Raw genomic sequence first — 16,525 nt, 5'->3', positions numbered from 1 at the left:
TCATTCTTTTTATGTCTGCATAGTACCCCATTGCGTATATGTACCATATTTTCTTTATCCATTTGTCTGTTGATGGACACTTAGGTTGCTTTCAAATCTCAGCTATTGTGAACAGTGCTGCAATGAACACGGAAGTGCAGATATCTCTTCCATACACTGATTTCCTTTCTTTTGGGTATATACCAAGCAGTGAGATTGCTGGGTTATATGGTGGCTCTATTTTGAGTATTTTGAGGAACCTCCAAACTGTTCTCCACAGTGACTGTAATAATTTACATTCTCATCAACAGTGTATGAGGATTCCCTTTTTCCACATCCTCATGAGCATTTGTTATTGCCCATCTTTTGGATTAAAGCCATTTTAACTGGAGTGAGATGATATCTCATTGTGGTTTTGATTTGCATTTCTCTGTTGATCAATGATGTTCATCTCCTTTTCATGTGCCTGCTTCCATTTACATGTCTTCTTTTAAGGAATATCTGTTCAGATCTTTTGCCTATTTTTAAATCAGATTATTATTTTTTCCCTATGGGGTTGTTTGAGCTCCTTATATATTCTGGTTATAAACTCCTTGTCAGATGGGTAGTTTGCAAATATTTCCTCCCCTTCCGTGGGTTGTCTCTTCACTTTATTGACATTTCCTTTGCTGTGCAGAAGCTTTTAAACTTGATGTGATCCCATCTGTTCATTTTCGCTTTAGTTGTCTGTGCTTGTAGGATATTACTCAAGAAATTTTTGCCCAGGCCAATATCCTGGAGAATTTCTTCAATGTTTTCTTGAAGTAATTTCATAGTTTGAGGTCTTAGATTGAAGTCTTTCATCCATTTTGATTTGATTTTTTTGTATATGGTTAGAGATATGAGTCAAGTTTCATTCTTCTGCATTTGGATATCCAGTTTTCCCAGCACCATGTATTGAAGAGACTGTCCTTTCCCCATTGTATGTTCTTGGCACCGTTGTCAAAAATGAGTTCACTTGAGATGTGTGGATTTGTTTCTGGGTTATCTGTTCTGTTCCATTGATTCATGCTTCTGTTTTTATTCCAGTACCATGCTGTTTTGGTTACTGTAGCTTTGTAGTATAATTTGAAGTCAGGTGATGTGATTCCTCCAGTTTTCCTCTTTTTGCTTTGGCTATTCTGGATGTTTTGTGGTTCTATGTAAATTTTAAGATTGCTCTATTTCTGTGAAGAATGTCTGGTATTTTTATAGGGATGGCATTGAATTTGTAGATTGCTTTGAGTAGTATAGACATTTTAACAATGTTGATTCTTCCAATCCATGAACGTGAAATACTTTTACACTTTTTTGTGTCCTCTTCAATTTCTTTCATCAGTATTTTATAGTTTCATTGTAGAAATCTTTCACTTCTTTTTGATTCCTAGGTATTTAATTTTATTTGTGGTTATTGTAAATGGAGTTACTTTTTTGATTTCTTTTCCAGAATGTTCACTTTTGGAATATAGAAATGCTACTGATTTTTGCATGTTAATTTCTGTGGTATCAGTTCTAATGTCTTTTTTTTTTTCCAACTCTGCAACTTTTCTGAATTTGTTTATCAGTTCTATACTTTCTTTGGAGTCTTTGCAGATGATATCAGCTCATATCATCTGCAAACTAGGATAATTTGACTTCTTCCTTTCCAATTTGGATGCCCTTTATGTCCTTCTCTTGTCTGATTGCTCTAGCTAGCACTTCCAGTACTATGTTGGATAACAGTGGTGAAAGTGGCATTGCTGTTGTGTTCCAGATCTTAAAGGAAAGGCTTTCAGTTTTTCCTCATTCAGTGTGATACTAGCTGTGGGTCTGTCATATATGTCTTTCATTATGTTAAGGTATGTTCCTTCTATGCCTGTTTTTTAAGGATTTTTATCATGAAAGGGTGTTGAATTTTGTCAATTGCAGCACCAATTAAAATGATCACATGGTTTTTGTCCTTCATTCTATTGATATGATGTACGACATTGATTTATTTGCATATGTTAAAGTGGTCTTATATCCCTGGGATAAATCCCATTTAGTCATGATGAATATTCTTTCTAATGTATTGTTTAATTCAGTTTGCTAGTATTTTGCTAAGGCCTTTTCTATCAATATTCAACAGAGAGAGTGTCCTGTAGTTTTCTTTTTTGATGTGTCTTTGTCTGGTTTTGGCCTCATAGAAGGAATTTGGAAGTATTTCCTCCTCCTCTACTTTTTAGAATAGTTTGAGTAGGATTGGTATTGGTTCTTTAAATGTTTGGTAGAATTCTGTTGTGAAGCCATCAGGTTCCCAGACTTTGCTTTACTGAGAGACTTTTTATTACAGCTTTGATCTCATTGCTTGTTAATGGTCTGTTCGGGTTTTGGATTCCTTTATGGTTTAACCTTGGTAGGTTGTATATGTCTAGGAATTTACACATTTCCTCTAGATTTTCCAATTTGTTGGCATACAGTTGCTCATACTAGCTACTAATGATCCTTTGTATTTCTGTGGTATCAGTTCTAATGTCTCTATTTTTTTCAACTCTGATTTTATTTATTTGGCTCCGGTGTCTTTTTTTCTTAGTCTCCCTAAAGATTTGTCAATTTTATTTATTGTTTCAAACAACTAAATTTTCATTTCATTGATCTCTTGTACTGTTTTCTTAATTTCAAATTTATTTATTTCTGTGCTGATCTTTATGTTTTTTTCTACTACTAATTTTGGGTTTGGTTTGCTCTTGTCTTTCTAATTTTTAAAGATGCATTCTTGGCTTATTTATTTGAAGTTTTCTTTCTTTCTTGATGTAGGTTTTATAGCTATAAATTTCCCTGTTTTTGCTACATTCCATAGGTTTTGGCATGTTCTGTTTCCTTATCATTTGTTTTAAGAAAATTTTCAGTTTCCTTCTGATTTCTTCATTGACTCACTGATCATTCTGGGCCATATTGTTTAATTTCCATTGTGTTTATATAGTTTTCAAAATTCCTGTTGTTATTGATTCCTAGTTTTATTCAACTGTGGTCAGAGAAGATGCTTGATAGTATTTCAATTTTTCTGAATGTTTTAAGACTTGTTTTGTAACCTAACATATGATCTATTCTCGAGAATGATCCATGTGTTGAGGAGAAGAATGTGTATTCTGTGGCCATTGGATGAAATCTTCTGTAAATATATATTAAGTCCATTTGTTCTAAAGTGGAGATTAAGTCTGATGTTTCTTTGTTGATTTTCTGTCTGGAAGATCTGTCCAATACTGAAAGTGAGGTGTTGAAGTCTGCAGCTTTTATTGTATTGAAGTCTATCTCTCTCTTTAGCTCTAATATTATTTGCTTTATATGCCTGGGTGCTCCAGTGTTGGGTGCATATATATTTACAACTGTTATATTCTGTTTCTGAATTGACTCATTTATTATTATATAATAACCTTCTGTGTCTCTTATTACATTTTTTGTCTTGAAGCCTATTTTGTCTGACATAGTGTAGCTACTCCTTTCTTTTTTTTTGCTTCCATTGTCACGCACTATCTTTTTTCATCCTTTTATTTTCAGTCTATGTGTGTCTTTATAGATGAGGTGTGTTTCTTATAGGCAACAGTCATGGGTCTTGCTATTATGTTTATTCAACCACTCTATGTCTTTTGATTGGAAATTTTAGTCCATTTACATTCAATATTATTATTAATAAGTAAGGACTTGCTTTTGCCATTTTGCTATGTGTTTTCTGGTTGTTTGGTGGTTGTTTTGTTTTTTTCTTCCTTCCTGTCTTCCTTTTAGTGGAGTTGATTTTTGTTGGTGGTATGATTTAATTTCTTGCTTTTTATTTTTTGTGTGCCCATTGTGTGTTTTTCAATTTGAGGTTACCATGAAGCTTGAAAAACGATCTTACAACCCATTATTTGAAACTGATGACAACACTAATTGCATAAACAAACAAATAAGCAAACAAGCAAAAATAAAATGAATAAAAACTCTACACTTCAACTTTATCCACTCACTTTTTAACATTTTATGGTTTCTCTTTATGTCTTATTGTACTCTCTACATCTTGAAAAGTTGCTGTAATTATTATTTTTGATCGGTTCATCATTTAGTCTTTCTATTTAAGATAAGAGTATTTTACATAACACAGAGTATTATTATATTCTGTGTTTTTATGTGCTATTACCAGTGAGTTTTGTACGTCCAGATGATTTCTTATTGCTCATTAATGTCATTTTTTGATTGAAGAAATCCCTTTAGCATTTCTTGTAGGACAGGTCTGGTGTTAATAAAATCCCTCAGCTTTTTTTGGTCTGGAAAGGTCTTTATTTCTCCTTCATGTTTGAAGGATTTTTTTTTTTTTGCCGGAACTATTCTAGGGTAAAGTGTTTTTCCTTCAGCACTTTAAGTATGTAAGTATGTCATGCCATTCTCTCCTGGCCTATAAAATTTCGACTGAAAAGTCTGCTGCCAGAAGTGTTGAAGCTCAGTTGTACATTATTTGTTTCTTTTCTCTTGCTACTTTTAAGATCCATTCTCTATCCTTGATCTTTGAAGAGTTTGATTATTAAATGTCTTCAAGTAGTCTTCTTTGGGTTAAATCTGCTTGGTGTTCCACAACCTTCTCGTACTTGAATATTGATATATTTCTCTAGGTTTGGGAAGTTCTCTATCATTATCCCCTTGAATAAACTTTCTACCCCTATCTCTCTCTCTATCTTCTCTTTAAGGTGAATAATTCTTAGATTTGCCCTTTTGAGGCCATTTTCTAGATCTTGTAAGCGTGCTTCATTGGTTTTTTTTCTGTCTTCTATGTGTATTTTCTTTTTTCTTTTGTCTTTTCTGTGTATTTTCGAATAACCTGTCTTCAAGCTCATTAATTCTTTCTTCTGCTTGATCAATTCTGCTAGTAAGGGACTCTGATGCATTCCTCAGTATGTCAGTTACATTTTCCAACTCCAGAATTTCTGCTCAATTTTTAAAAATAACTTTAATCTCTTTGCTAAATTTATCTGATAGAATTCTGAATTCATCCTCTGTGTTATTTTGAATTTCTTTGAGTTTCCCCAGCACAGCTATTTTGAATTTTCTGTCTGAAAAGTTGCATATCTCTCTTTATTCAGGATTAATCCTTGGGGCTTTGTTTGGTTAATTTCATAGGTCATTTTTTTTTTTTTCCTGCATGGTCTCGATGCTTGTAGATGTTAGTTGGTGCCAGGGCATTTAAGAGTTAGGCATTTATTGCAGTCTTCACTGTCTAGGCTTGTTTGTTTACACCCACCCTTCTTGGGAAGGCTTTCCAGGTATTCAAAGAGACATGGGCTCCAAACCCAATAACGTTGTGGTTCTTGTAGGCTCAGAGAGGTACCACCTTGGTGGTCTTGGACAAGATCTAGAATAATTATCTGGATTACCAGGCAGAAACTCTTGTTCTTTTCCCTTACCTTCTCCCAAACAAAGTCTCTCTCTCTTTGCTAAGCCTCCTGGAACTGGGGGTGGGGGGACACAAGAACCCTGTGGTCACCAACACTAGGACTGTGCTACTTTAGACCTGAACAGCCAAGCCCAGCATTGGGTCTCACCCAAGGTCCACTGTAACCACTACCTGGCTACCACCTAGTTCACTCAAGGACCTAGGGATCTATGATCAGCATGTGGCAAAGCTGGCCATTACTTTGTCTCCTTCAGAGCAGCAAGTTCCCCCAGGCCCTAGGTGGGTCTGGAGATGCTATCTGGGAGTCAGGAATTGAAGTCAAAAACCTTAGAAATTTATCTAGTGTTCTATTCTACTGTGGCTAAGCTGACACCCAAATAACAAGACCAAGTCTTTCTGACTCTTCTCTCCCTTTTCCATAGGCAGAGGAGCCCCTTTCTGTGGCCACCACCACCACTGATCCATGTGGGGTTCTGCCAGGCCACCACCATTGTTCACTTAAAGCCCAAGGTCGCTTTAGTCAGCTTGTGGTGAATGCTGCCAGACCCGGTACTCACCCTTCAGGGCCACTGGCTCCCGTTTGGACCAAGGCAGGTCCAGAAATGTTGATCAACAGCCTTGGCCTGGACTCAGGGACCCCAAGAGCCTGCTTGGTGCTCTACCCTATTGTGGTTGAGCTGGTACTTAAGGTGCAAGACTGAGTTCCCTTCGTTTTCCCCCCTACTTTTCTCAAACAGAAGGAGTCTTTCACCATAGTCACCACAGCCGTGGATGTGCTGGGTCACCCCTGAAGCCAGCAAGTCTTAGAGCCCTAGGCCTGTGGTGTATTACCTGGGTATCACTGTTAGTTACTCAGGGCTGATGGCGGAGGGGCTCTATAGTCAGCAAGTGATGAATCCTGCCAGGTCTCTGCTGTGCCAGGGCAGCACTGAGTTCAAAGTAAGGTCCTCCAGTCACTGTGCTCTCCCTCTCCCAACACATAGATTTCTCCATGCTGTGCAACACTCCCTTAGCCACCCTGGCTGGTGTCTCAGTAGGTCACATGCCCCTCCAGTCCACTGGCCCTGAGCCCCACTCAGCACTAGGACTTGCCTAGAAATTGCAGTCCTTGTGGCCTAGACTGCCCCTCAAGTTTACTCAGGGCCCCAGAGCACTCAGCCCACAGTGGTGAGGCTTGCTGGAACTCAAGCTCTGATCACTGGGATGGGTGATTCCTCTCTGGCTAGGGCTGGTCCAGATGCTCCCTCCATGGGCAGATGTCAGTTGAGTACAACCTTGTTCTGCTTTCCACTGTGACAAGGCAGCAGCGAGTTCAATGCAAAACTTCACAATCACTGTGCTCTCCCTCCCTTAAGTGCATAGATTTCCCAGCAGGAGAGAACGAGGGAGGGAGAGCATCGGTGTGTGGAGGCTGTCTTTCCTGCCCTCTTCAACATCTCTTTCTGTGATATGAAGTTAAAATCATGTATGGAAATTGCTCACCTGATCTTTCATTCTTGTGATAGTGCTTTTTGTGTGTAGTTAGTTGTTAAAATTTGGTGTTACTGTGGAGGAACAAATGGTGTAAGGCCTCTAGTCCATCATCCTGCTCTGCCCCTCCCTTTCTAATTTCTTTGCACGCCATTACCTCTTGTATATCAGTCCATCCTAAGAATTGAGATCACTAAAGAATATCCTTTTCCTTAATAAACTACATATTTTAAAATTCCTTTAATAAATTAGGTCTGTTAGTGGAAACTCAGGTTTTATTTGAAAATGCATTTACTTTGCCCTCTTTCTCTTTTTTTTTTAATTATACTTTAAGTTCTAGGGTACATGTGCACAACGTGCAGGTTTGTTACATAGGTATACATATGCCATGCTGGTTTGCTGCACCCATTAATTCGTCATTTACATTAGGTATTTCTCCTAATGCTATCCCTCCCCCTGCCTCGCAACCCACGACAGGCCACCACGTGTGATGTTCCCTGCCCTGTGTCCGAGAGTTCTCATTGTTCAGTTTCCACCTATGAGTGAGAACCTGTGGTGTTTGGTTTTCTGTCCTTGTGAGAGCTGGCTCAGAATGATGGTTTCCAGCTTCATCCATGTCCCTACAAAGGACATGAACTCATCCTTTTTTATGGCTGCATAGCATTCCATGGTGTGTATGTGCCATATTTTCTTAATCCAGTCTATCATTGATGGACTTTTGGGTTGGTTCCAAGTTTTTGCTATTGTGAATAGTGCCACAATAAACATACGTGTGCATGTGTCTTTATAGTAGCATGATTTATTGGGTATATACCCAGTAATGGGATCTCTGGGTCAAATGGTATTTCTAGTTCTAGATCCTTGAGGAATTACCACACTGTCTTCTACAACGGTTGAACTAGCTTACACTCCCACCAACAGTGTAAAAGCATTCCTATTTCTCCACATCCTCTCCAGCATCTGTTTTTTCCTGACTTTTTAATGAACACCGTTCTAACTGGTGTGAGATGGTATCTCATTATGGTTTTGATTTGCTTTTCTCTGATGACCAGTGATTATGAGCATTTTTTCATGTGTCTGTTGGCCGCATAAATGTCTTCTTTTGAGAAGTATCTGTTCATATCCTTTGCTCACTTTTTGATGGGGTTGTTTGTTTGTTTCTTGTAAATTTGTTTAAGTTCTTTGTAGATTCTGGGTATTAGCCCTTTGTCAGACGGGTAGATTGCAAAAATTTTCTCCCATTCTGTGGGTTGCCTGTTCACTCTGAGGGTAGTTTCTTTTGCCATGCAGAAGCTCTGTAGTTTAGTTAGATCCCATTTGTCAATTTTGGCTTTTGTTTCCATTGCTGCTGGTGTTTTAGTCATGAAGTCCTTGCCCATGCCTATGTCCTGAATGGTATTGCCTAGGTTTTCTTCTAGGGTTTTTGTGGTTTTAGGTGTAACATTTAAGTCTTTAATCCATCTTAAATTAATTTTTGTATAAGGTGTAAGGAAGGGATCCAGTTTCAGCTTTCTACATATGGCTAGCCAGTTTTCCCGGCACCATTTATTAAATAGAGAATCCTTTCCCCATTTCTTATTTTTGTCAGGTTAGTCAAAGATCAGACGGTTGTAGATGTGTGTTATTTCTGAGGCCTCTGTTCTGTTCCATTGGTCTGTCTCTCTGTTTGGGTACCAGTACCATGCTGTTTTGATTACTGCAGCCTTGTAGTATAGTTTGAAGTCAGGAAGCATGATGCCTCCAGCTTTGTTCTTTTTGCTTAGGATTGTCTTGGCAATGCAGGCTCTTTTTTGGTTCCATAAGAAGTTTAATTTTTTCCAATTCTGTGAAGAAAGTCATTGGTAGCTTGATGGGGATGGTATTGATCTATAAATTACCTTGGGCAGTATGGCCATTTTCACCATATTGATTCTTCCTATCCATGAGCATGGAATGTTCTTCCATTTGTTTGTGTTCTCTTTTATTTCATTGAGCAGTGGTTTGTAGTTTTCCTTGAAGAGGTCCTTCACATCTTTGTAAGTTGGATTCCTAGGTATCTTATTCCTTTTGTAGCAATTGTGAATGGGAATTCACTCATGATTTGGTTCTCTGTTTGTCTATTATTGGTGTGTAGGAACGCTTGTGATTTTTGCACATTGATTTTGTATCCTGATACTTTGCTGAAGTTGCTTATCAGCTTAAGAAGATTTTGGGCTGAGACGATGGGGTTTTCTAAATATACAATCATGTCATCTGCAAACAGGGACAATTTGACTTCCTCTTTTCCTAATTGAATACCCTTTATTTCTTTCTCTTGCCTGATTGCCCTGGCCAGAACTTCCAACACTATGTTGAATAGGAGTGGTGAGAGAGGGCATCCCTGTCTTGTGCCAGTTTTCAAAGGGAGTGCTTCCAGTTTTTGCCTGTTCAGTATGATATTGGCTGTGAGTTTGTCATAAATAGCTCTTATTATTTTTAGATACGTCCCATCAATGCCTAATTTATTGACAGTTTTTAGCATGAAGGGCTGCTGAATTTTGTCGAAGGCCTTTTCTGCATCTATTGAGATAATCATGTGTTTTTTGCCATTGGTTCTGTTTATGTGATGGATTATGTTTATTGATTTGCATATGTTGAACCAGCCTTGCATCCCAGGGATGAAGCCCACTTGATTGTGGTGGATAAGCTTTTTGATGTGCTGCTAGATTCGATTTGCCAGTATTTTATTGAAGATTTTCACAACGATGTTCATCAGAGATACTGGTCTAAAATTCTCTTTTTTATACCAGGCTTTGGTATCAGGATGATGCTGGCTTCATAAAATGAGTTAGGGAGGATTCCCTCTTTTTCTACTGATTGGAATAATTTCAGAAGGAATGGTACCAGCTCCTATTTGTACCTCCGGTAGAATTCGGCTGTGAATCTGTCTGGTTCTGGACTTTTTTTGGTTGGTAGGCTATTAATTATTGCCTCAATTTCAGAGCCTGTTATTGGTCTATTCAGATATTCAACTTCTTCCTGATTTAGTCTTGGGAGGGTGTATGTGTCCAGGAATTTATCCATTTCTTCTAGATTTTCCAGTTTATTTGCATAGAGGTGTTTATAGTATTCTCTGATGGTAGTTTGTATTTCTGTGGGATCAGTGGTGATATCCCCTTTATTATTTTTTATTGCATCTATTTGATTCTTCTCTCTTTTCTTTATTAGTCTTGCTAGCAGTCTATCAATTTTGTTGATCTCTTCAAAAAATCAGCTCCTGGATTCAATGATTTTTTTGAAGAATTTTTTTGTGTCTTGATGTCCTTCAGTTCTGCTCTGATCTTAGTTATTTCTTGTATTCTGCTAGCTTTTGAATGTGTTTGCTCTTGCTTCTCTAGTTCTTTTCATTGTGATGTTAGGGTGTCAATTTTAGATCTTTCCTGCTTTCTCTTGTGGGCATTTAGTGCTATAAATTTCCCTCTGCACACTGCTTTAAATGTGTCCCAGAGATTCTGGTGTGTTTTGTCTTTGTTCTCATTGGTTTCAAAGAACATCTTTATTTCAGCCTTCATTTCATTATTTACCCAGTAGTCATTCAGGAGCAGGTTGTTCAGTTTCCATGTAGTTGTGTGGTTTTGATTGAGTTTCTTAATCCTGAGTTTTAATTTGATTGCACTGTGGTCTGAGAGACAGTTTGTTGTGATTTCTGTTCTTTTTGCTGAGGAGTGCTTTACTTCCAACACACATAGGCTCAAAATAAAGGGATGGAGGAAGATCTACCAAGCAAATGGAAAGCAAAGAAAAGCAGGGGTTGCAATCCTAGTCTCTGATAAAACAGACTTTAAACCAACAAAGATCAGAAGAGACAAAGAAGGCCATTACATAATGGTAAAGGGATCAATTCAACAAGAAGAGCTAACTATCCTAAATATATATGCACCCAATACAGGAGCACCCAGATTCATAAAGCAAGACCTTAGAGACCTACAAAAAGACTTAGACTTCCACACAATAATAATGGGAGACTTTAACACCCCACTGTCAACATTAGACAGATCAACTAGACAGAAGGTTAACAAGGATATCCAGGACTTCAACTCAGCTCTGCACCAAGCGGACCTAATAGACATCTATAGAACTCCCCACCCCAAATCAACAGAATATACATTCTTCTTAGCACCACTTTGCCCTCTTTCTTAACGCACTACACAGCTCTGCATAAAATTCCAGGGTGTCATTTATTTACACTAAAGATATTATCATGGCTTTTTTCCTCCTGCAGTTGGTAATTCTTGATTATGGATTTATATTGTGCAGGATTTTATCTGTGGCAATGTGGGTATCCTGTACTGGCAAGGTGAAATCATGTACTGCAAAAAGGACTTGATTTTGTTTTTGCCAAGTGCTCTATGACTTAAAATCTGGCACTTCAGTTTAATTTTGTAATGTGTGTTTCCCTAGATCACACAAGCAACATAATCTGGATTTCAAATTCACGTGGAGCAAGTCTATAGTGAGAAAGTTTTAGAGAAGAAGAATTTTTATTTTTTATACAGAGTAGACAAATTTCCCCAACATCTGTGTGCCTCTTGGGAAGATATTTTTAGGTTCACTGTTTCACTGAGTGAAAGAGTCCAAATTGTCAGGAGATTCTCAGGGTTCATACCTCATTTGCATAGTTAAAATATTTGTTTCCTGATCTCTGCAGCTATTAAGCCAACCCTGGTGGTTCCAAGATCAGCAGAGGCCCAAGACAACTGTAGCATCAGCATCCATTCATCATTATATTTTCAGCCTCTTCGATATTTTTGGATGCTGGGAATTTTCATTTTTCGAAGACTTGGCAATACATTTGAGATGTTGTTTATTATATTTTTACTCAGTATTGTTTTATAGTGAAAGCCTATCAGATTTTGTCATTTGTCTTTCCTCCTTCATGTTTTTGAGGGAGGAAATGTTACTCTAAGATAACATTTTAAGCATATTTCATTATACTTGGTTTACATTAATAAGAATTATCTTTCTCTTCCTCCATAAGTTTAAGTTTTTATTATCTCTTTCCCAAATTATTTTACAAAGTATTTAATCTACTACCGTCTAATTTCTCTGCTCCCCTTCTTTATGTAGAAACCAAAATGTGAATTAAATCTCATGCTTTTTGCTCATAACTTTTTATATTTCAAATTTTCTACTTCATAAAATTGTTCAGATTCTTCAGCATGGCATTCAAGGCATTCCAACTATTTAGCCATAATTAATATCAGAATATTTTTCTCCTTTCCTTGGGCTCCTACTCTATTTTATTATGTATATGATTGAACATAACACGGTGAGTTTTATTATAGTTGCATTCCTAAATCTTTGCCCATCTACTTCACTCCATGCCATTTCCCTGCCCAATCACAGTCTTACCAAAGTCTAAAAATCACTTCCTGAAAACTTTTATGTTCTATAGTGCTTATTCAGATGCCGAAATATTTTTCCTATATTGAACTTAGTTCTGTAGCAATCTATTTGCTGTGAAGCTATTGTTTAGGCTAATAGCTGAATTCTACTATGTAGCAATAGTAATTATCATTGTTTCAATTGGCATTTCAGAAAAATCCTATTTAATGAACATTGCTGAATGAAATCTCACAACTTTAGGTATTACAATTATCAAATTATGACATAAAGAAATTCGAATTATGTTACATTTTCTCAAAATAACAATAACAGAAAAAAATTCAGCTGAAATTATTCTGTACCATTTACTAGAATTCTGCAATCTTTACTGAATTCCTATTGTGTTCAAACTAGGAGCAAACTGTTTTGCTTACAACTCATTCACTTAAAGGCAATTTGCTTTTGGGTTAATGGTACATTTATTTCAAGTTTATATTTACCCCGTGCTGTATTTATACCTTATCTTTATTTTATATGCAACAGAATTGCTTTAGCTCACTTTTAAACTTTTTAAAAATTTGACTATTTATATTTTTCTAACCTCTGAACATTTCAAAGATATTTCAGCCAGTTTTCTAAGGGTATTATCCCTTATGATTTGGATTTTAAAAATTAGTACACATATTTTAATTCTTGTCACATTACAACCTTGGTTTAGCCATTTAAAAGTATGTTCGCATCCTTGGATGTGCCTTTTTTTTCTGATTAGCACACTTTTAAACCTTTCTAGAATTAAGAAAAAAACAATGCGTTGAGTCACTCTTAAAATTTTTTTTGATCTTTCTAAATAGATCTTTATAAAATTGACAAGAGTTTATGTATGATTTATTAAATCATGTCTTTTAAATATTTTGGATTATTTTGAGGAGTGTTTAGAACCTTTCTACATTATGCAAAATAATAACCAATAAAACCATGCTTATTGTTTGATTTCATTCTCTGTTCTTTATTAGCATGTGAATTATACTTCTTGTTTTACTTTTCTTAGTGTTGCCCTAGAGTTTGCAATGTACATTTACAACTAATCCCAGTACACTCTCAAGTAACACTACGCTGCTCTACTGGTAGTGTATATACCTTATAATAACAAAATAATCCTATTTCTTCCAACAATTATTTGGCTATGTATACTGATGTATATATATGTGTGTATACATAAGCATACATATATACACACATATATATATAAGCATACATAATCAAATAATTGTTGCTGTTAGATCAATTAAGAATAAGAAAAATGAAAGGTTTTATTTCACCTTCACTTATTTCTTCTCTGATACTCTTCCATTTTTTATGTAATTCTGAATTTCTGATCTTTATCATTTTCCTTTTCTCTAAAAAATTTCTTTTAACATTTCTCACAACAGAGTTACTGGCAACAAATTCCCTCAATTTTTTGTTTGTCTGAAAAAATATTTATTTTTTCTTCATTTTTGAAGGGTAACCTCACAACGTATAGAATTCTGGGTTTGTGAATTTTTTATCTCAACATTTTAAATATTTGACTACATCTTCTTTGTGGCTTGGTTTCTGAGAAGTTGGATCCAATTCTTACATTTGCCCTTTTATAGGTAAAATGCTTTTTTGTCCTTCTGTGTTCTTTCAGAATTTTTTCTTTATCTTTGATTTTCTGTAGTTTGAAAATAATATGCATTGGTGTAGATTTTTGGAGTTCCTCCTGATGGTGTTCTCTGAATTTCCTGCATCTATAGTTTGGTATCTGACATCAATTTGAGAAAATGCTTAACCCCTATTGTTTCTGTTCCTCTCTCTGTCTTTTGATTCTGATACTCCCTTTACATGTATGTTATACCTTTTGTAGCTGTACTACAGGCCTTTGATATTCTGTTCTGACACTTTTCTGTCTTTTCGTCTTTGCTTTTTCAGTTTTGGCAGTTTCTACTGAAGAATCTTCAAGGTCAGAGATTCTTTCCTCAGCCATATTCAGTTTACCAGTAAGCCTAGCAAAGGCATTCTTCATTTATAGTAAGTTTGGCCTTTAGCATTTCTCTTTAGTTCTTGCTCAGAATTTTCATCTCCCTTCTTATAAGGCCCATCTGTTCTTGCGTGCCATGTACTGTATCCATTAGGGCCCTTAACGTGTTAATCACAGTTGTTTTGAACTCCTGGCTGGATCATTCCAACATCCCTGCCGTATCTGACTCTGGTTCTGATGCTTGCTCTGTCTCCTCAAACTGTGTTTTTATGTTGTAGTATGTCTTGTAACTTTTTCTTGATGGCAGGACATAATGTCCCAGGTAAAAGGAATTGCTACAAATAGTCCTTTAGTCATGCTAAAGGACTTTAGCCTTTAGTGGTAATGTGTGGGGTAAGGAAAAGCATTCTAGAGTCCTGTGAGTAGGACTCAGTCCCTGGTAAGCCTGTGTCCTTGGACTTTAAACTTACAAGTGCTTCTCAGTTTTTCCAGGTGAGAAAGAGACTGCTAGAATGGGCTGGAGTTGTGTATTTCTCTTTCCCCAGGTTGGTTAGGCTCTGATAAAAACCCAGCAGGCCAGGCATGGTGGCTCACACCTGGAGTCCCAGTACTTTGGGAGGCCGACAGGGGCAGATCACTTGAGCCCAGGAATTCAGGACCAGCCTGAGCAACATGGTGACATGCCATCTCTACAAAAAAATCCAAAAATAAGCCGAGCATGGTGGCACCTGCCTGTAGTCCCAGCTACTTGGGCGGCTGAGGTGGGAGGGTTGCATGAGCCCAGGAGGTCAAGGCTGCAGTGAGCTGTGATTGCACCACTGCACTCTGGCCTGCATGACAGAGTAAGACCTTGTCTCAAAAAACAAACAAACAAAAACACCCCTGCAGGTTAGGCCTCTAGTAAGAAACTTCCTCCTGAGGGTTGACCTCGTTAAGAACAGAATGCTCCAACCTATTTCATTTCCCCTTTCTCCCTCCCTCTGCCAAAAGCGATGACTGGGGCTACATCACATCCCGGTCACTTTCCACCACACCTGTTCCACCACTCCAAGGGCTCTGACTTCGGTGTTTTGCCGTAGATTAACTTGTTTAGAACTTCATGTAAATGGAATCATACAATATACACTCTTTTTTTTTTTTTTGTAAGGCAACATGTTACTGCATGAGATCTTTTCATTTCCTTCTCAATGCTACATACTGGTTGTTGAAGCTATGAATACATCAAAGTTTGTTTATCCATTCCTGCTGATGGACACCTGGTTTGCTTCCAGTTTTTGCCTATTATAACTAATGTTGCTGTGAACACTTATGTACAAGTCTTTTGTGATTACATGTCTTTCTTTCTAGGAGTGAAATTGTTGGGACCCAGGGTAGATGTATGTTTAGTTTAGTACAAAGCTGCAAGCCTTCTTCCATAATGGTTGTTCCATTTTTACTGCCACCAGTAATACTCAAGAGTTCCAGTAACTGTCCTTTTATTTTAGCAATCCTAATATGTGGGTTGCGATATCTGATTGTGATTTTCACTGGTATTTTCTTGATGACTACTAATGATTTTGAACAGTTTCTCATGTCCTTATTTGGCATTTGTATATCTTCTTTGAAATATCTGTTCAAAGCCTTGATAACTTTACAGGCAGAAGTAACTTATTTAAAAAAGAAACTAACGTATTTCATTAAATGCCATAATGTATAAAAAGCAATAGTTTTTAAAAAGAGAGGATTTATTATGCATAAGTAAATAAGAAATAGACAGATAAAGAAAACAACAGACTTAGTAATTATGAAAGTTAACTTTTAAAATATATGTAATGGAAAATTGTCTGCAGAATAAATGGAGAAGTAAAAACATGAACATTAGAAAATACAGAATAAGAAGAATTTGTAAAAATTACAAATAAGGAAGTGAATATAATCTACATCATGTGGGAAATAGTTATAGGAATGCTATGTGCAAATGCATGCTAATAAATCTGAAAATTTGAATTAAAAGATGATTTTCTGATACATTAAAACTATCGAAATTAACACTTCAAAACCAGAAAAATGTCATTAACTATGAACACAGGAAGGACAGTTTCAACTTTATCTGTCAGGTGTAAGCACTTTCTTATGATCACAAATTACATCAAACATTCATGCAAATATTTGTCTTTTAACACAGAGAATTACTCCTGTTTCTCCATCCTTTGCAGACTTTGAACCCTTTCTACATGAGTTAACCTAGAATTAATCCAGTGTATTTTTTATACACATTTTGATTTGGCACCTGTATTGCACAGTTTATTTTGCCAATTGTGCACCAATAGCTGCATGGAGTTCCGTTTAGCAGTTTT

The sequence above is a fragment of the Homo sapiens genome, chromosome 7, assembly GCF_000001405.40.
Source record: "Homo sapiens chromosome 7, GRCh38.p14 Primary Assembly".
In the NCBI taxonomy this organism is placed as follows: Eukaryota; Metazoa; Chordata; class Mammalia; order Primates; family Hominidae; genus Homo; species Homo sapiens.
This window is presented reverse-complemented; position numbering follows the sequence as displayed.